This window comes from Homo sapiens, chromosome 1 (genome assembly GCF_000001405.40).
Source record: "Homo sapiens chromosome 1, GRCh38.p14 Primary Assembly".
Taxonomy (NCBI): Eukaryota; Metazoa; Chordata; class Mammalia; order Primates; family Hominidae; genus Homo; species Homo sapiens.
Genome location: NC_000001.11, coordinates 108255776 through 108275355, shown reverse-complemented (window position 1 = coordinate 108275355; position 19580 = coordinate 108255776). Strand labels below are relative to the sequence as shown.

At 39.1% G+C, this 19580-nt stretch overlaps 1 protein-coding gene and 1 pseudogene across 6 annotated transcripts in view, besides 3 other annotated features; one reads left to right on the top strand and one right to left on the bottom strand.

Moving 5' to 3' along the window:
• The window catches only part of SLC25A24P1 (SLC25A24 pseudogene 1), a 64715-nt pseudogene extending 62498 nt beyond the window's left edge, over positions 1–2217 (bottom strand).
• Positions 1826–2325: an enhancer, noted in NCBI's record as "H3K27ac hESC enhancer chr1:108815653-108816152 (GRCh37/hg19 assembly coordinates)". NCBI's record gives its function as "activates a minimal SCP1, AML or CMV promoter by ChIP-STARR-seq in primed H9 embryonic stem cells {active_cell/tissue: H9 hESC(primed)}" and the evidence as "EXISTENCE:reporter gene assay evidence [ECO:0000049][PMID:30033119]".
• Positions 2326–2827: an enhancer, noted in NCBI's record as "H3K27ac hESC enhancer chr1:108815151-108815652 (GRCh37/hg19 assembly coordinates)". NCBI's record gives its function as "activates a minimal SCP1, AML or CMV promoter by ChIP-STARR-seq in primed H9 embryonic stem cells {active_cell/tissue: H9 hESC(primed)}" and the evidence as "EXISTENCE:reporter gene assay evidence [ECO:0000049][PMID:30033119]".
• Positions 2443–19580, top strand: part of NBPF4 (NBPF member 4) — a 50450-nt gene continuing 33312 nt past the window's right edge. For 2 of the 6 annotated variants that reach the window (XM_047446899.1, XM_047446895.1), the window contains exons 1-3: positions 2443–2552; positions 12566–13825; positions 16074–16114. The gene's annotated coding sequence lies outside the window, so the exon portion shown is untranslated. Of the gene's footprint in view, positions 2553–12565; positions 13826–15060; positions 15139–16073; positions 16115–19580 lie in introns of all 6 variants that reach the window. The other 4 variants (XM_047446900.1, XM_047446897.1, XM_047446896.1 and 1 more) reach the window with 3 other exon arrangements.
• Positions 12753–13271: an enhancer, noted in NCBI's record as "H3K27ac-H3K4me1 hESC enhancer chr1:108804707-108805225 (GRCh37/hg19 assembly coordinates)". NCBI's record gives its function as "activates a minimal SCP1, AML or CMV promoter by ChIP-STARR-seq in primed H9 embryonic stem cells {active_cell/tissue: H9 hESC(primed)}" and the evidence as "EXISTENCE:reporter gene assay evidence [ECO:0000049][PMID:30033119]".

The window sequence follows — 19580 nt, the reverse complement described above, 5'->3', positions numbered from 1 at the left end:
AAAGAATAAAGCACTTAGGAATTAACCTAACCAAGAAGGTAAAAGACTTATGCAATGAAAACTATAACACATTTCTGAAACAAATTAAAGAAAACATAAATAAATGGAAAGATGTCCCACGTTCATGGGCTGGAAGACTTAATATTGTTAAGATGTCTATACTACCCAAAACAATTTACAGATTCAGTGCAATCCCTACCAAAATCCCAATGATGAATTTGCAGAAGTAGAAAAACCCATACTAAAATTCACATGGAATCTCAAGGGACCCCAAATAGCCAAAACAATTCTGAAAAAGAAGAACAAAGCAGGAGGACTCACTTCTTGATTTCAAAACTTACTGCAAAACAAGAGTGATTAAAACAGTGTGCTACTAACATAAAGACAGAAATATACACCAGTGGAATAGAATAGAGAGCCAAGAAATAAACACTTAGGCATATGTGCTCAAATAATTTTTGACAACAGTGCAAAGACCATTCAATAGGGAAAAGACAGTTTTTTCAACAAATGAAGCTGGGAAAACTGAATATCTGCATGCAAAAGAATGACATTGGACCCTTAATTAACACCCTATTAAAAATTAATTCAAAAAGGATCTATGACCTACATGTAACTCTTAAAATTATGAAACTTTAGAGAAGACGACACAGGGCAAAATCTTCTCGACAATGGATTTGGCATTGATTTCTTAGACATGACATCAAAGGTACAGGCAACCAAAACACGACAAATTGGACTTCATGAAAATTTAAAACTTTGTGCATCAAAAGTAAAAAGGAGACTCATAAAACCGAAGTAAACATTTGCAAATCATATATATAATAAGGGGTTCATATACAAACTATACAGAAAACTCCTAAAAATCAACAACAAAAAAAAACCTAATTTGAAAATGAACAAAGAACTTGGACATTTCTCCAAAGAAGTTATACAAATGGCTACTAAGCACATGTAAAGATGCCCAGCATCACTAAAGAGGAGTCCAGATGGTTTGGACTTCTAGCAACAACCAAAAAAAAAAAAATCTCACCAATAAAGAGCTTTACAGTCTTCAGACCTAACTCCTAAAATTCAATAGGAGTTATATCTGAAGACTGCTAAGCATTGACAGAAAATAAATAAAATAATTTTTTTCTCTTGATATTCTGAAACTTCCATCTAAATAGTTTAAAAATAATCAAGTCAAGACTGGCCTAGAGAAGGAAGGTATTCCTAATTTAGATGAGGTTCTAAAACAATCAGCTGAAGTGTACACCCATGGATCAAAGTCTGACTTCCCCTAGACCTTGGTGTGGATGTCAGAAAGAGAATAGCTCTGGGGCTCTTATCTGTGCCTGTCGTTTGGAGACGACCCTGAAGCACACTGCCCTGGGCAGAGAAACCCCTAAGAAAAGAGATGTTCCTTTACTTCTGCACAAAGGCTAACATGGCGCCTGACGTTGTGTGCTGGTTCCATAAATTTTGAACGAGTCACCAGAAACAGCATCTCCCCAAAAGCCCCCTGAAGGTCTTTGTCACTACGGAAAGTGGCTTTTTTTTTTTTTTTTTTTTTTTTTGAGATGGAATCTCGCTCTGTCGCCTGGGCTGGAGCGCAATGGTGCTATCTCGGCTCACTGCAACTTCCGCCTTCCGGGTTCAAGCGATTTTCCTGCCTCAGCCTCCGGAGTAGCTGGGATTACAGGCGCGCGCCACCACGCTCGGCTAATTTTTGTATTTGTTTAGTAGAGACGGGGGTTTCACCATGTTGGCCAGGCTGGTCTCGAATGCCTGACCTCAGGCGATCCACCCGCCTGGGCCTCCCAAAGTGCTGAGATTACAGGCGTGAGACACCGCGCCCGGCCGGAAAGTGGCTATTTTAAGAAGATTGAGAACATGTTTCGTTGGGTCGCATTATTCTGCGTGACGAGGCTCACAGAGGAGAACCCCACCCTTACTCCAAAGGCCTTTGAAAGCAGCTCTGGAAAGGGCAGGGTTTGCTTCTCCCTCTGCCCAACGTCTCCCCAGGCTGCCTGTGCCACCTTCCGGTCTCACCTCCTCGGAGTTGGGGTCAAACGCGGAGCTCCAGTTTCTCAGCCCCTCCTGGAGCTCAATGATGTCCACCACGCCGTCCCCATTGCAATCCAGGTCTTCGAAGAGGATCCCGTAGCGTAAGTAGTCATCGTTATCCTGGCAGGCCACCGCCTCCAGCACGAAGCCCTGCATCCAGAGCAGCATGGCTGGGTCCAGAGGCTGCGGGGACCACTCGGCCACCCAGCCAGCACCGCAGCACTCGCCGCCGCCTCCTCGACGCCTGGCTGCGCAAGGCAGGGGGTCCCGGCCGTCCGCCAGCTTCTGCAACTGTCTAGCGGAGCCGCCGCAGTTCGGAGCCCACGCGGGCCAAGCCACCCGCGCCTGCGGGCTCTTGGGCGCCACGGAAAGGCTGCGCCACCTTGTGGGACCTCTGGCCGAGGCGCCACGCGACAGTTGAGACGCCAGATGTGAGTTGAGGTGCCAGACGTGAGTTGAGGTGCCAGACGTGGCGGCGTTGGGTACCCAGGACCCTCGGACGGGTAGGTCGACGGGGGAACCAAGGGACGTTTGGGGAAAGGGAGCGCATTCCCCAGCAGGCTTGAAAGGGCACTCGCGGGTGTTTAAGATTCTCGCGGTACAGACTCAGTTCCTGCCGGAAGTCACTGCTGCGGGAGATGTGGCATGGAGTGAGCTGCTCAGACTCGCTCTTATGCCAGCATCCAGTACTCTGGTGCCACCCTTCCTCCCAGGACGACCTGCACCTGGGGGTCAGGACCCCGGCGACCCCCAAAAGAGGTCTAAAGAGGGAAGGCCTCCTGAGGAGCCTCTGCCCTGTCCCTGTCTCTTCCCTCCTTACCGGCCTAGCCCATGTTGGCAAACCTATTTTGGCCATACTGGGATTAGACTTTTCATGTTCTTATATGACCTTTTTCCAGTTAATTGGATTGGGTGCAGAAATACTTCTATCTCTATTAATAAAAGAAAAATAAAAATAAATAATAACTAAAGGGAAGATACATACAGATTAAAATTAGAACATGTCTCCAAATCCAGAAATATGAAACACACATCATAACAGTTCCAATTTATATGCCACATTTCTATTCATAAATTTTGTTCTAAAATAAAGAGAAAAAATAAATAGCAAAATACTTTAAAGTAGATCTGAAGCATTCAAAGTATTTTTTGGTATGCATTTATTTTAAATCAATCTCTGATTTTTATTATCTATAGGGCTATTAAGGGATCCAGTTGCCGTTTATTTTTCCTCTATATTTTAGAAGTTCGTATAAACAAATTTAATTTCTAATTCCTTGTTAATTATGAGGCATGATAACACATACTAATTTATCAAGATGTGCTTTATATTAGTCACATTTATGTGAACTTTAGGAGTTGATTATATTTAAGTTTCAAATCTTTCTAGTAATCCTATTAAGAAAAAAAGGGAGAATCTAACTAAAAATTGACTTTGGTTACTCAAATTTATGTTAATTGTGCATTTATATTCATTTCAATTTTTAGAAAATTTAACAACTTAATCCCATCATTAATCATTTATTAAGTACCCTATCCCAACCTGAGAAAATTAAATTTCTCTAATTTCACAGCAAATTCAAACATGGCATTTAACAAGAGGGAAAAAATGGTATCAAATATTCTTCTGAATTTTAACACTTTACAGTGAGAGCAGATTTTAACTACATTTTAATAACCTTGAGAAGTATGTTACAACCCCAAATATTAAAGTAACTCAAAATCTTTAATTTATAAAATGGCAGAAATATCTGTGTCCTGAAAAACTGGAAAAATGGACTGATCTAATGTATTACTAGTTGTTTGGTATATTATAAATTATATAATTATAGTTACATTTATTAAATCACAATTTTAGAACCCATCTAATCTTTATAATGTAGCTATACATAGACATCTTAAAATATCTTTGGCCTAGTCTCTTTCAACATAAATTGAAAAGATAGAGGCAAAAAAAGTAGGGATGGATGAGAATACTATTCATCCTTCATGTAAGTTTAAGACTGTAAAGGGAAGTTCCAGTCAGCCTTTGTTCTAGTAGATCGGAGCTTGAAAGTAAAGTATAAAGTACATAGAGAAAAAAAGAAAAACTCAGTCTTTTTTAACACAGATTTAAGTATAAGAGCTCACACATTTTTCTGAATTACTTTGGTCACGTTGGTGATTTCGTGTAATGTTTAAATATTAAAAAAAAAAGCAAGCGTAGCTAAAAATGTCTGTATCTCTAAATAAGAGTGCTCAGAAAAGGAATAAGAGGTCACCATTATTCCATTGACAACACTGGTAGGAGACTGAGGTATTCTGATGCCATGAAATTCTGTTTAGGACTTTCTATTTTGTTTTGTCTATTTTAGAGAAAGAAAAGGAGCCCAAACTTGACTGTTTTGCTATGAATTATAGTTTTAAATGCGTGAGTTTTCTATTAGTGCTTTCAAACATTTTAAATGTTCGCATATGGCAAGGAGAGGTGAAAAAATAAAAATAAATTTAAAATGCACATAAAGCACTAAAATGTTAGCTTTTTAAAATACAAAGTAGAGAATTCAGGAAAACTTCAAAATATTCCAACTGTTTAATATGAAATACTAGGTTAATTATATACTTAGGTTATATTCTGTATTATAAATTGCATTCTAATCCACTTAAATGCAAATTTCTATGACTGTTCATTAAAATTTGGAGAAATATAAATAGATTTTATGAATGTTGAAGATTTTAATTCACCAATAAATTAATAAACTGTTTCTTGTTTACTTAAAATTCAATATTTAATTTGTAAGTTTACCTCTTGGGAAAATGGATATAGCATCTTTTCATACAGACCTTTTGCAAATTAAGGAAAAAGCCAAGACATTTTCATGTTTATAAACAAGTGTCCAGATAATGACGGTTCAAGATTTCATTTCTGCTTTTTATTTTTGAGACGGAGTTTCACTCTGGTTGCCCAGGCTGGAGTGCAGTGGCACAATCTCGGCTCACCGCAACCTCTGCCTCCTGGGTTCAAGCGATTCTCCTGCCTCAGCCTCCTGAGTAGCTGAGATTACAGGCGTGTGCCACCATGCCTGGCTAATTTTGTATTTTTAGTAGAGATGGGGTTTCTCCATGTTGGTCAGGCTGGTCTTGAACTCCCGACCTCAGGTAATCCGCCCACCTCAGCCTTCCAAAGTGCCGAGATTACAGGCGTGAGCCACCATGCCCGGCCTCAAGATTTCGTTTGTAAAATATTCCCCAAGAGCGGTTTTGCTGATTCATAAACCACACAGTTTACAACACACTGAAGTAAGAAACTTTATGAAATATGGAGTCATGCCTCTGGAAAATCCTGTCACTCCACTCCTTTTATAAATTTAAGAAAATAAGCTGATCATATTTAGCTGTGGGACTCATATCATGGCTAGAGAATTCAAGGAAAGGGAAAAGTCCAATTAATTTGATATTTTAGCTTTCTTTTAAATAGTAAGCTAAAACTTGCTAAAACAGATAATAAAATAAAATTAATTAAATTACTTCACAAGGATCCCCAAGGGAAAATCTCTGGTTAATTACACTTTATAGTCGGAGGCTCTCATGGAACTATGTGATGATCATCACTATTTAATTTTCATTCCTTTTAGGAACAAAGTCAGTCCACTAATGGTGAAATCTACTTATAATTATTGTGGAGTTACAATTTTAAAAATTCTCTAGGCATACACAGATACCTTCATTCAACCTCTCATGTCTTAAGAACATCTCAAATTCAGAAACAAAAAAAAATATGTTTCTCATTCCATGTTTCACTTTTCAGGGAATGGCTGCACCATTCATATAGCTTCTGAAACTGAAAACCTGGAATGTATCCATGACATTTCCCTCTCCTTCATCTTACACATCTAAACCATCACCTACCAGTTTCACTCTCCAAGTTTCTCTCAAATCCATCCACTTATCTTCATGTCCACTGCCACACCTTCTGTCTCCAAACTACCATCATCTCTTGCCTAGACTGTTGTGATTACCCTCCTCTTTCCATTTTTTTCTCTATCCTTTAACCAGAGTAAACTTCCAACAATGCAAATCTGATACTTTCCTTCTTCAGTAATTTCCCATTATGCTTAAAGACAGTATCATCTGACCTCTGTTTCCTCCTCCCAACTCACCTGTACCACTCTTGCTTTCTGTACTCCAGCCATACAAGCTACTTTTCAGTTTCTCAAAGTGTCCCATTCTTCTTCCTTCTTCAGGCTCATTACACATGCTTTCCCCTTTGCATGAAAGTCATTCCCTGTTCTTTGCTCATTTAACTCCACCTCAGTCTTCAGCTCTCAGTTCAGTATTTTTCTCTGTTCATATATTTTTTAAGAAACTCTTTCCAGAACTTCCTCATTTCCCCTATTAATGGCCCTCAGAGAACCCTATTTTTCCTCTGTAGCTATAATCGCAGTTTATAACTATATATTTGTATAAATGTTTAATTAATTTCTGTCTTCCCTACTAGACTATCAATTCTATAACAGCAGGGTCTCTGTTTGCTCACCCGAACCCCATGTGTTTGGCACATTGCACAGTACCTGGCTACCTTAAATTCTCAAATTACAATAGCTAGTATTTTTCTTTCTAATCTTTATATTTTGCTAGCATTTTTCTCTCTAATCTTTATATTATATTCCCAAAGTTGATGTAGCTAAATAGAGTGAAATCAATAGACAATTGAAAAGTAAGTCTTTCACTGTTTTAGTCTAAACATTCTGTTCCCCCCTCCCACCCACCCCTACAAGAAATTAAATAACTCCTTTAAAATGTAGAGAAGATCCCTTGAAAATTTAGAAAATATTTACTTGCCATGGAATTTCTTGGAAAATGTTCTATTGCTATATGCGTCTTTTTGTTTTTTTAATCAGAAACTAGTAACATCCCCTCCAGTTTTTATAGTTTTGTAATTAAATTGGAAACTTTCTTACTTTTTTCTAATGTTGAACTTACTTTGCCCATTGATTTTCTCCCAACTTATTATGAAAACTGTAAACTCTAAAAAGGATGGCACAATGAACATTTATATATTCACCACCTATAAAATTTAACATTTTGCCATAATTACATTTTGTCTCTCTCCATTCTACTTAAACATATATATAAATGTGTGTGTGTCTATCTGAGCCATTTGAAAGTAAGTTACAGATATGATGACACTTAACCATAAAGTACTTGGACATATCCTAAAAACAAGGAGATTAGCTTACATAACCACAATGCCATAATTATATTTTAGAAATTTAAAAATAATTCTCTATTACTTGAGATGCTAAGGCAGGAGGATCACTTGAGCTCCAGAGTTTGAAGCCAGCCTGGGCAACATAGCAAAGCCCTGTCTCTTTAAAAATAAATAAATAAATAAATAAACAAACAAACAAATAACCTCTATACCATCAATACTTATTCTATATTCAAATTTTCCCAATTGTCCCCAAAATGCCATTTACAGATTTTTTCAAACTAATATCCAAATAAATTTACCCATTGCCCTTACTATGTTTATTCTCTTAATCAAGACTAGTAACAGTCCACCACCAACACTGTTTTTTCCACAACAATGACTTTTTGAAGAACCCAGCTCAACTGTCTTGTAGAATATTCCACAATCATGATTTGTTTGATTGTTTCTTAATGGTATTGTTTAACTTGTTCCTCCATCACCTGTATTTTCTACAGTTCTAAAGACATGGTCAGATTCTAGTAAAAAAATCTGGGCAAAAATACTTCATAGGAGAGGCTATGAAATTTGCTGTCTCCTCAGTTTAATAACATCTTTGTTTTCTTTCTAAAATATTTACCATCTGTCCTGTAACTTGGACCCTATTCACCTAAGCTGAAATTTGTTAAATATCTAAGAAAAAAAAACAGGGTGAATGAAGTTCTTATGTCAATGTACTTTTCTTCTCTCTCTTTGTTTTTCTTGCATTGTTTGCTCTCCCATTGTTTGTTCTCCCATAACTTGAAGCAGTGACTTTCTTCCTTATTACTAGCAATAAGGAAGGACATCTTATAATAATAAAAGGGTCAATCCTAAATTTATGTACACATAATAATATAGCTTCAAAATACATAATGCTAAAGTGGCAAACGTAGAGGAGTAATAGGGAAATCCACAATCATGGTTAGAGATTTAAACATACCTTTTTCAGTAGCCAGTAAGACAAGCAGACAAAAAAATTAATAGGAATCTAAAACATTTGAATAACACATTTAACTAATTGATCTTATAGAACACATATATAGAACACAAAATACAACTTCAAAATCCATTTATTTGAAAGAACAGAAATCATACAAAGCACATTCTGATGGCAGTGCAATTAAAACAGGAGTTCACCGTCAGGAAGGTAATTGGAAAAATCCCCAAATGTTTGTAAATTCAGCAATATATTTCTACATAACTGATGGGTGAAGAAGAAATCACAATGGAAACTGGACATTTTGAAATAAACAATAATGAAAACATTACATATCAAAATTTATTGAGTGTAGGGAAAGCAGAACTTAGAGGGAAATTAAAACTTTAAATTAATATACTAGAAAAGAAAAAAAAAGTCAATTATTTAAGACAGGGATTGGCAACCTTTTTCTGTTACTGTCCAGATAATAAATATTTTAGGCTCCGCAGGCCATGTGATCTCTCGCAGTTACTCAACTCTGCCCTTGTAGCCATAGACAATACAAAAACAAATGGAAGTGGCTGTGTTACAATTAAATTCAATTTACAGAAATAGGTGGCAGGTCAGATTTGGCCCTCAGGCCAAAGTTTGCCAACCCATGACCTAAACTTCAAACCCAGGAAACTAAACAGGAAAATAAACAGAAAGAAAGGAGGATGAAATAGTAAAGATAGGAGTAGAAACTAATGAAACAGGCCAGGTATGGTGGCTCACACATGTAGTCCCAGCAATTTGGGAGGCTGGGCAGGCAGATCACTTGAGGTCAGGAGTTCAAGACCAGTCTGGTCAACAAGGTAAAAAATTAGCCAGGCATGGTAGTGCATGCCTGTAGTCACAGCTACTTGGGAGGCTGAGGTACATGAATCCCCCATATCATTTCTGATTGTGTTTATTTGAATTTTCTCTCTTTTCATCTTTATTAGTCTTGCTAGTGGTCTATTTTATTGCCTTTTTTTTTTTTTCCAAAAAACCAGCTCCTAGATTTGTTGATTTTTTGAAGGGTTTTTCATGTTTCTATCTCCTTCAGTTTCACTTTGAGCTTCATTATTTCTTTTCTTTTTTTTTTAAATTATTATTATACTTTAAGTTTGAGGGTACATGTGCACAATGTGCAGGTTAGTTACATATGTATACATGTGCCATGCTGGTGTGCTGCACCCATTAACTCGTCATTTAGCATTAGGTATATCTGCTAAAACTATCCCTCCCCCCTTCCCCCACCCCACAACAGTCCCCAGAGTGTGATGTTCCCCTTCCTGTGTCCATGTGTTCTAATTGTTCAATTCCCACCTATGAGTGAGAATATGCAATGTTTGGTTTTTTGTTCTTGTGATAGTTTACTGAGAATGATGATTTCCAATTTCATCCATGTCCCTACAAAGGACATGAACTCATCCTTTTTTATGGCTGCATAGTATTCCATGGTGTATATCTGCCACATTTTCTTAATCCAGTCTATCATTGTTGGACATTTGGGTTGGTTCCAAGTCTTTGCTATTGTGAATAGTGCCGCAGTAAACATATGTGTGCAAGCGTCTTTATAGCAGCATGATTTATAGTCCTTTGGGTATATACCCAGTAATGGCATGGCTGGGTCAAATGGTATTTCTAGTTCTAGATCCCTGAGGAATCGCCACACTGACTTCCACAAGGGTTGAACTAGTTTACAGTCCCACCAACAGTGTAAAAGTGTTCCTATTTCTCCACATCCTCTCCAACACCTGTTGTTTCCTGACTTTTTAATGATTGCCATTCTAACTGGTGTGAGATGGTATCTCATTGTGGTTTTGATTGAACTTCTCTGATGGCCAGTGATGGTGAGCATTTTTTCATGTGTTTTTTGGCTGCATAAATGTCTTCTTTTGAGAAGTGTCTGTTCATGTCCTTCGCCCACTTTTTGACAGTGTTGTTTGTTTTTTTCTTGTAAATTTGTTTGAGTTCATTGTGGATTCTGGATATTAGCCCTTTGTCAGATGAGTAGGTTGCAAAAATTTTCTCCCATTTTGGAGGTTGCCTGTTCACTCTGACGGTAGTTTCTTTTGCTGTGCAGAAGCTCTTTAGTTTAATTAGATCCGAGCTTCATTATTTCTTGTCTTCTGCTAGCTCTGCGGTTTGTTTGCTCTTGGTTCTCTAGTTCTTTTAGTTGTACTGTTAGGCTGTCAATTTGAGATCTTTCTAGCTTTTTGATGTGGGCATTTAGTGCTATAAATGTCTCTCTTAACACTGCTTTTGCTGCACCCCAGAGGTTCTGGTACGTTGTCTCTTTGTTCCCATTGGTTTCAAAGAACTTCCTGATTTCTGGCTTAATTTCATTATATACCCAGGAGTCATTCAGGAGCATATTGTTCAATTTCCATGTAGTCGTGTGGTTTTGAGTGGGCTTCTTAATCTTGAGTTCTAATTTGATTGCACTGTGGTCTTAGAGACTGTTTGTTATTATTTCAGTTCTTTTTGCATTTGATGAGGAGTGTTTTACTTCCAATTATGTGATCAATTTTCGATTAAGTGCCATGTGACACCAAAAAAAATGTATATTCTGTTGTTTTGGGTGGAGAGTTCTGTAGATATCTATCAGGTCCACTTGGTCTAGAGCTGAGTTCAAGTCTTGAATATATTTGTAAATGTTCTGTCTCAATGATCTGTGTAATATTGACAGTGGGGTATTAAAGTTTCCCACTATTATTGTGTGGGGGTCTAAGTCTCTTTGTAGGTCTTTAAGAACTTGTTTTATGAATCTGGGTGCTCCTGTATTGGGTGCATGTATATTTAGGATAGTTAGCTCTTCCTGTTGAATAGATCCATTTACCATTATGTAATGCCCTTCTTTGTCTTTTTTGACCTTTGTTGGTTTAAAGTTTTTTCTGTCAGAAACTAGGATTGCAACCCCTGTTTTTTTTTTCTGCTTTCCATTTGCTTGGTAAATTTTCCTCCATCCCTTAACTTTGAGTCTGTGTTCATCTTTGCACATGAGATATGTCTCTTGAATACAGCATACCGATGAGTCTTGTCTTTGTATCCAACTTGCCATTCTGTGTCTTTTAATTGGGGGCATTTAGCTCATTTACACTTAAGGTTAATATTGTTATGTGTGAATTTGAACCTGTCATCATGATACTGGCTGGTTAATTTTGCAGACTTGTTAATGTAGTTGTTTCATAATGTCACTGATCTGTGTACTTCAGTGTGTTTTTGTGTGTGATTTTGCTATCCATGTTTAGTACTTCCTTCAGGAGCTCTTGCAAGGCAGGCCTGGTGGTGATGAAATCCCTCAGCATTTTCTTGTCTGAAAAAGATTTTATTTCTCCTTTGCTTATGAAGATTTGTTTGGTCTGATATGAAATTCTGGGTTGGCATTTCTTTTCTTTAAGAATCTTGAATATTGGACCCCAATCTTGTCTGGCTGGTAGAGTTTCTGCTGAGAGGTCCGCTGTTAGTCTGATGGGCTTCCCTTTGTACGTGACCTGGCCTTTCTTTCTGGCTGCCGTTAACATTTTTTCCTTCATTTCAACCTTGGAGAACCTGATGATTATGTGCCTTGGGGTAGATCTTTTTGTGGAGTATCTTACTGGGGTTCTCTGGATTTCCCTGATTTGAATATTGGCTTGTCTTGTTAGGTTGGGGAAGTTCTCCTGGATCATATACTGAAGTGCGTTTTCCAACTCGGTTCCATTCTCCCCAACTCTTTCAGGTACTCCAATCAGTCATAGGTTCCATCTTTTTACATACTCCCATAGTTCTCATAGGTTTTGTTTGTTCCTTTTCGTTCTTTTTTCTCTAATTTTGTCTGCCTGCCTTATTTCAGCAAGATAGTCTTCAAGGTCTGATATCTTCTCTTCCACTTGGTTGTTTTGGCTACAGATGCTTGTGTTTGCATCATAAAGTTCTTGTGCTGTGTTTTTCAGCTTCATCAGGTCATTTATGTTCCTTTCTAAACTGGTTATTTTAGCTAATACCTCCTGTAATCTTTTATCATGGTTCTTAGCTTCTTGCGTTGGGTTAGAACATAATCCTTTGGCTCAGTGAAATTCATTATTACCCACTTTCAGAAACCTGCTTCTGTCAGTTCATCAGTCTCAGCTTCAGCCCTGTTCTGTGCCCTTACTGGAGAAGTGTTGAGATCGTTTGGAACAAAAGAGGCATTCTGGCTTTTGAAATTTTCAGTGTTTTCGCATTGGTTTTTCCTCATCTTCATGGTTTTGTCTACCTGTGATCTTTGAAGCTGTTGACCTTTGGATGTGGTTTTTGTGGGGTCTTTTGTGTTGATGTTGTTGTTGTTGTTACTTTCTGTTGGTTTTTCTTCTAACAGTCAGGCCTCTCTTCTGCAGGTCTGCTGCGGCTTGCTGGGGGTCCACTCCAGACCCTGTTCGCCTGGGTATCACCAGTGGAGTTTGCAGAACAGCAAAGATTGCTGCTTGCTCCTTCCTCCAGAAGCTTCTTCCCACAGTGGCATCAACCTGATTGATGTCAGCCGGAACTCTCCTGCATGAGGTGTCTGGCGACCCCTGATGGGAAGTCTCACCCAGTCAAGAAGCACGGGACTGGAAGGGGGACCTCCTTACGGAGGCAGACTGACTGTCCCTTAGCAGAGCTGGTGCACTGTATTGGAGGAATAACCCTCCTTGGGATCAGCTGGTCTCTTCAGAGCCAGCAGGCAGGAAAGATTAAGTCTGCTGAACCTCGGACCATGGCCGCCGCTCCCCCGAGGTGCTCTGTCCCAGGGAGATTAGAGTTCTTGTCTGTAAGCCCCTGACTGTAGCTACTGGAATTCCTGCAGGGATGCCCTCCAGGTGAGGAGGGATGGCTTCGGGTCCCACCTAGGAAGCAGTCTGGCCACGATCTGCAACAGCCACTTTGCTGCGTTGTGGGGAATTCCACCCAGTCCAAACCTCCTAGTCTCCTTAGCACTGTCAGGGGAAAACCTCCAACTAAAGCCTCAGTAATGACGGTCGCCCCTCCCCCTGGGAACTGAGTTGTCCCAGGCGGACTCCAGACTGCTGTGCCGGCAGCGGGGATTTCAAGCCAGTGGTTCTTAGCTTGCGGGGTTTCCGTGGGAGTGGGACCCTCTGAGCGAGACCACTTGGCTCCCTGGCTACAGCCCCCTTTCCACAGAAGTGGACATTTCTCCTGCCTCACTGGAGTTCCAGGTGCTGCCGGAGTATGTAAAAATTCCTGCAGCTCAGTGCCTGCCCAAACAGCCGCCGACGGGAGCAGCTGTCATTGGTCTGCCCAGTTTTGTATTTGAGACCCAGGGCACTGGTGGTTGTAGGCTCCCGAGGGGATCTGCTGATCTGTGGATTGCAAAAATCTGTGGGAAAAGCTTAGTACCCTTGGTGGGTAGCACTGTCCCTCACCACTTCCCTTGGCTGGGGAGGGAGGTCCCCCTGCCCTGTGCAGTTCCTGGGTGAAGCAATACCCTGCTTCTTCTCGCTCTCTGTGGGTCATGCCGACCATCTAGTCAGTCCCAGTGAGATGAACTGGGTATCTCAGTTGGAAATGCAGAAATCACCCACATTCCTCGTTCCTCTCGCTGGCAGCTGCAGACCAGAGCTGCTTCTAGTCGGCAGTCTTGGCCCCTCCCCGCCGAGGTAAGTTTAATAAGTCTTCTAAATTTGTCCTTGCCATAATGATCAGTGATGATCTGTCTTTTAATAAGTTAAATGCTTTCCAGACTTCAAGACTCTCACCCACATCAAAAATAAAATTATATATCGGCCATATTACCAGGATTTTAGAATGTTGTATTTTATCCTCTAATTATAGGTCAAATAACTAAGGTAGAAAGGAGTAAAGCAACTTCCATGTATGTAGTGAGGATGTTGGGGGGTCTGGGACTAAAATTCTGCCTTGGGATTCCCAAGAGGTTGGTGATTATGATTTTTGTACTCTTAGACACAAAATAAAATAACATTCTGTTTTGTTCCTCTGCTTACCCTATTCAGTTCTCTAAACTACAAAATCTCTGCTTATCAAAATAAGTTGGATTGTCAATTTGTTGAGCTCAGCAAATGCATTTCCTGAGCCCTTGTGAGTAAAGCTCTGTGCTGGTTACACTGCGTAACTAGTGATACAGAGGATGAGTAGAGCATTCTTTCCTGAAAAGAGCTTAAGATTTCTGTGCCCAGGTCAGCTTGGGTTGCCTGTAAGTGAGAAAATTGACAGCCAACACCCACAGGCTTATTCTGATAAAATGGGAGATGATAATAAATGGTGGGGTTTTTTTCTTTTTCTATTTTCTTTTTTTTCGAGATGATGTCTTGCCACGTTCCCCAGGCTGGTCTTACCTCCTGGGCTCAGGCATTCTTCCCTCCTTGGCCTCCCACAGTGCTGGGATTACAGCGTGAGCCACACACCTGGCCTTGTGAATGGTGGTTCTGTCAAGACTGGGCTTTCAACCTCCCAAGGATTCTGGTCAAACAGCCTCAGGAGAATCTTCTGCAGAGAGTGTCTGCCTGCCAACTGTCAGAGCTGAGTGTCACAGAATCTTGGCATGGGTCTCCTCCCTCTGTTCCATTTCACAGATTACATGTTGTTAGTAGGAACATCACCAGAAGGAGCATGAGGATGTTCCTTCTAAGAACTAGGAAAGATATAATAATGCTGCTGGCTGGGCTATTTTAAAAAAGTAATCAAGGGCCTTCTCAGAAAGTGATTTTAGGAACTATAATGCATAGATGGGATCAATTATAGTGTAAGAACTGAAAAATTATTGCACTGAACAGCACCTAACAGCTTCTGGAGAAAACATATTTCCCAACTGACCCTGATGATGGACTTAAATACCAAAAAACAGAGAGAACCACTAACTTCCATTGTCTTGCAGAAACAGGAGAACCTTAATGCACTTAAAGCTGGAAAAATGTCTCTGCCTCTAAGGCCATGCAGTGAAACAGATTGCATGGTAGGTGACATAGGCAGGGGCAGAATGGAGTTTATGACAATGGCCATAAGATGATGAAAAAAATTATTTGGGGCCTTTGAAGCAGCAGATGAGCTGGCTCAGAGGAAAGTTGCACAACTGTAGAAAAACAACTTTTGCAAAATTTTCCTCCACTCAGTGGGCACTACATACTTATTCTAGGATTTGCATTCATTCTTTCACAGACTGTTTACTTATTGGCTTGGGCCTACAATGACTTTTCTGAGAGAGGTGAGGGATTAGCACAACAGCACACACACGCCTGAAAGAAATAGTGAATTTCTAATTTTCAGATTTTAGTCTCTGACCTAACCAAAGAATTGACCATTGTAGATTTTATCTATTAATAATATTAATGATGCTCACAAATATGAAGATTTAAGTACATCTTATGATAATAAGAGATGCTTTCAAAAAAAAGAAATGGTAGAACTGTAGTCCAGGGATGTTAATAAAAGTGGCAAATAACATTACATCATCTTTTTTAAAAAAGAAGATGAGGTCTCACTGTGTTGTCCAGGCTCATCTCAAACTCCCAGACTCCAGTGATCCTCCTGCCTCAGCCTCCCAAAGTGCTGGAATCACAAGCTTGAGCCATCACCTTCAGCCCATATCATCTTAACATCCAATAGGAACAGGTAAAAGAAGGAAGAAGGCTGACAACCCAGTGTACAGAATCATATGTAATAATGAAACTGTTGATTGGTTATAAATCAGCAGAATTAAATCTATGTTTATACTGGCCCTTGGGTTCTGTCGTAGAGGCAGAACATGGAGAAATAAAAAACTGGAGTAGAAGATAAATTCATTTGAGTAACTAGACTTTATAGATAAACATTTGAGAAAACACCTTTAAAGCTGTTTGTGAGCCATGTTTTACATAATGACAAATGAATGCTTTTGTTTTTTTGTGACAGTCAACTGACCCACTGGGAATGTGACCTTGTGAATCACCCAGGTGAGCAAGCTTAACATGATTGGATGTAAACCTAGGTCAATAACTAAAGAGATACTCAAATGTGCTACACGTGTCAATTGTGACATAACAAACTGAAGGCCATTCATTCTCCCTTGAGGGAATGAAGCTGATAGTGCAAGGGACTGCAGATACTACTGCAGAATCAGGGTCCTGATGCTCACATACTGAAGTGAGTGGACTCCTACTTCAGATGTGTAATAGGATCTACTGTCTCCTAAGGCTGAGTATCCCACAAAGAAATCCCCTCAGCCCAACATTATTAGTTATTTTAAAGCTTTTGGTCTCATTTTATAATAGATCACATCAGAAATAAGACTAGTCAGGATCAGGTACAAACTCATGATAACTTGATAGATATATCATTGAAGACCATCCCAAAGTCTCTGATACTACATAATGCTGGGATACATTATTGAATACTAAATTTTAAAATAAGGGATAACATTGCAGATAAACAGACACGCACATGGGAAGCCTCATCAACTGCATGAGCACTCTTAAGGAAAACCTATTGATGAACATACAGAACATTTCACATGCATTGGTCCACAAGGTACACACTCTGCCCAGCCTGAAAACTGAATATAGGTTGGGACGTTCCTCTTCCTTGGGCTGATGATAAAGCTCCAAGTAAAATGAAAAAGATTCTTTTCACCTGGTAAATACGCAGGACCCCCACCCCCCGAAAGATATTGTCACTGCCAAATGTAACTTCAGTCTGAAAAGCATTTGTTTCTAGCAGGATACAACGTCAATATACAAAAATCAATTCTATTTTATGTAATTCCAATGCACAATTGAAATGTAAAAAGCAATACCACTTACAATAGTGTCAACTGTATAAAATGCATAGGGATAAATCTGACTGCAAATTATAAAATGTTTCACAGAGAACATAATGAATACCTAAAAACTAGAGAGAAATTCTTTGTTCATGGGTCAAGAGACTTAATATTGTTGAGGTGTTACTTTTCCCCAATCTGATCTATAAATTCAATGCAATTCCACTCAAAATCTCAGCGAGCATCTTTGGTAGAAAGTGATCAGCTGATTCCAAAATTAATATGAACTAGCATAATCAAAATGCTACTAAAATGAAGAACAAACTTGGAGGACTAGCTCTACCTGATTTAAAGAACTATTATAAAGTTATAGTAATCAAAACAGAATGGTGTTGGGATATGATCTCACACCTGTAATCCTAGCACTTTGGGAGGCCGAGGTGGGTGGATTGCCTGAACTCAGGAGTTCGAGACCAGCCTGGGCAACATGGTGAAACCTCGTCTCTACTAAAAGCACGAAAACTTAGCCGGGCATGGTGATGCACTCCTGTAATTCCAACTACTTGGGAGGCTGAGGCACAAGAATCACTTGAACCCAGGAAGTGATCACACCACTTCACTCCAGCCTGAGTGACAGAATGAGGCTCTGTCTCAAAAAAAAAAAAAAAAAAAAAAAGAAAAGAAAAGAAAAAAAGATTGATAAAATAGGAACAAAATACACAGTCCAAAAATAAACCAATGCATATATGGATAAAAAGATATTTGACAAACATGAAAAAGAAAAATATTTAAAAATGTATGTACTTTCAACAAATGGTAGAGGATTTTCTTTTAACAAATGGGTATGACATCTATATGTGTATAAAAATAAGTAAAAAATCAGATTCGTGTGTCACTCCATATATAAAAATTAGTGTGTACCAGAGGCTGGGAATGAGAGTGGGGAGAGGGTAGAAGTTGGTTAATGGGTACAAAAATACAGTTAGGTTGAAGGAGTAAGTTCTAGTATTCAATAGGGTAGCAGGGAGACTACTGTTAACAATAATTTGTTGTATATTTTTAAAAATAGCTATAATAATTGGAGTGTGTGTAACACAAAGAAAAGATAAAAGTTTGAGGTGATAGATATCCTAATTACCCTGATTTGGTCATTACACATTATACACATTTATCAAATTATCACACATACCCCCAAAAGATGTACAACTACTATACATCAATTAAAATATGAATGAAAAGTAGATCATGAACACATTTATGATGATTGAAATCACATCAAGTATTTTTTCTGAGCACAATAGTAAGAAACTAAAAATCTACAGAAGGAAAACTGGAAAATTTCACATATACATGGAAATTAAATAACATGCTTTTGAACAGCTGATGGGTCAAAGAACAAATCAAAAGGGAAATTTAAAATATCTTGAGACAAACAAGAATGAAAACAAACATAATGGAACCTCCGGAAACAGCAAAAGCAGCTCTAAGAGGCAAGTTTGTAATGATAAATGCCTACATTGGCTGGGCACAGTGGCTCATGCATGTAATCCCAGCACTTTGGGAGGCCAAGGTAGGCACATCACTTGAGGTCAGGAGTTCAAGACCACCCTCACCAACATGGTGAAACCCCATCTCTACCAAAATGTACAAAAATTAGCCCAGCATGGTGGCACGCACGTGTAATCCCAGCTACTCAGGGAGGCTGAGGCAGGAGAATTGCTTGAACCAAGGAGGTAGAAGTTGCAGTGAGCCAAGATTGTGCCACTGCACTCCAGCCTGTGCAATGGAGTGAGACCCTGGGAAGGAAGGAAAGGAAGGAAGGAAGGGAGGGAGGGAGGGAGGGAGGGAGAGAGGGAGGGAGGGGAGGGGAGGAGAGGGAGGGCAGGGGAGGGGAGGGGAGGGGAGGGGAGGGAGAGAAAGAGAAAGGGAGAAAAAAGAAAGAAAGAAAGAGAAAAAGGAAGGAAGGAAGGAAGAGACCCACATTAAGAAAGAAGGTCTCTAATAAGTAACCTAACATTATACCTCAAATAACTAGGAAAAGAATGAAATAAAGTTATCAAAAGGAAGGAAATAATAAAAATCAAAGCAGGAGCAACTCAACCAAAGAATAGAAAAACTAGAAAAATTGACAAAACTGAGTTAATTTTTTGAAAAAATAAACAAAATTGACAAACTTTTAACTAGACTAAGAAAAAAAGAGAAGAGTCAAATAAATAGCATCAGAAATGAAGTGGAGGTATTTCAGCAGATGTGTCAGAAATAAAAAGTATCATAAGGAACTATTATGAGCAACTATATAGCAACAAATTGGATAACCTAGAGAAAATAGATAAATTCCTAGACACATACAACCTACCCAGATTCAATCAAAAAATAATAGAAAGCCTGAACAGACCAATAACAAATAAAAAGATTGAAGCAGTAACTATAAACCTCCCAAAAAAAACAAAAGCCAGGACCAGGACTCAGGACCAAATGGCTTCACAGTTGAACTCTACTAAAAATTAAAAAAAGAATTAATGCATTTCTTCTTAAGCTCTTCTCAAAGATAGAAGTAGAGAGAATACTTCCAAAATCATTTTATGAGGCTAGCATTACTCTGATACCAAAGCCAAAGACACCAGAAGAAAATAAAACTACAGGCTAATATCTCTGATGAACAT